This window comes from Homo sapiens, chromosome 6 (genome assembly GCF_000001405.40).
Source record: "Homo sapiens chromosome 6, GRCh38.p14 Primary Assembly".
Lineage (NCBI taxonomy): Eukaryota > Metazoa > Chordata > Mammalia > Primates > Hominidae > Homo > Homo sapiens.
In genome coordinates this window covers 62,904,040-62,905,422 of record NC_000006.12, presented here as the reverse complement: position 1 = coordinate 62,905,422, position 1,383 = coordinate 62,904,040, and the positions used below count along the sequence as shown (strand labels likewise).

Here is a 1,383-nt window from a genome sequence, read left to right as displayed (position 1 = left end):
AAGAGCCTACTTTTTGCTCTACTCCACTGTAGCTGAGCTGGTACCTAAGGTGTAAGACAAAGTCCCCTTTACTTTTCCCTCTGCTTTCTCAAGTAAGTCTTTCACCACAACCAACATAGCAGGGAATGTGCTGGGTTATGACTGCAGTCAACATGTCTCAGAGCCCCAGGCCCATCACATACTACTTGGGCATCACCGCTGGTTATTAGGGTCCCAAGCGCTCTTTAGTCAACAGGTGATGAATCTTGCCAGGACTGGGTCTTTTCTTTAAGGCAGCAGTTCCCTTTTGGCCCAGGGTGGGTCTAGAAATGTCATCTGGGAGCCAGGACCTAGAATGGGGGCCTTGTGACTCTGCTCAGTGCCCTACCCTACTGTCGCTGAGCAGGTATCCAAGATGCAAGACAAAGTCGCCTTTACTCTTTGTTCTCAGTCCCTTAAGAGAAGAAAGGAGACACTTTCATTGCTGCTAGCCGCACTGCCTGGGATTGTGGGAGGGATGGCTCAAGCCCTTCTTTAGCTGCGCCAGCTAGTGTCTCCCTAGTCACATGCTAACGTAGTCCTTTGGCTCTGAGCCAAGCCCAGCACTAGGAATTGCTTAGGAATTGCAGTCTTTGTATCCTAAACTGCCTTTCAAGTTTACATAGAACCCCAACCTCAGAGCACTTTGCCCCATGGTGGGGAGACTTTCTAAGAAACTTAAATTTTAGATGATGGGAAGGGTAATTCCCCTCTGGCTAGGTCTGGTCCAAATGCTCCCTTTGTGCAGGAGCACTGGTTGAGCCCAGCATGGCTTTACTCTCTGCTATGACAGGGCAACACTGAGTTCAATGTAATATCCTCTAGTCACTTTGTTCTTTCTCCCCCAAATGCGTAGACTCTTTGCTCTGCAGGGACACTGCCAGTGAATAATGTAGGAGGGGTGGCATAAGAGATTCAAGACGACTCTCTAACCCTCCTCAATACCTCTTTCAATAAAATGAGGTAAAAAGCATGTACTGTACTTGTTCACCTGATTTTTGGTTTTTGTGATGGTGTTTTTCTGTGTGCAGATAGTTGTTAAAATTTGATGTTCCTGTAGGGAGGTATGAATAGTATAGGATTCTATTTTGTCATCTTGCTCCAGCCTCTCCATAGAAATCTTGATAACAAAACCTACGGAAAACTACTAAAGGAAATACAGGCAAATACTTTTCATGAAAATAGAGACATGCAAAATTGGATGGAGTCCATGAACTTACCCATAATAATATAGATAGTTGGTTTATTTAAAAAGTGTAACTGAAGAGAAATTGAGAAAGGACCTTCCTTTTAATATCTTGTGACTGGTAAGTTGGATATACATGTTGAAATAAATCTGACCCCTTCCTCAAAACAGTTATTTCC

The 1,383-nt window shown here is 44.3% G+C and overlaps 1 annotated feature.

The window, feature by feature from the left end:
- Positions 376-941: an enhancer, noted in NCBI's record as "NANOG hESC enhancer chr6:63614387-63614952 (GRCh37/hg19 assembly coordinates)". NCBI's record gives its function as "activates a minimal SCP1, AML or CMV promoter by ChIP-STARR-seq in primed H9 embryonic stem cells {active_cell/tissue: H9 hESC(primed)}" and the evidence as "EXISTENCE:reporter gene assay evidence [ECO:0000049][PMID:30033119]".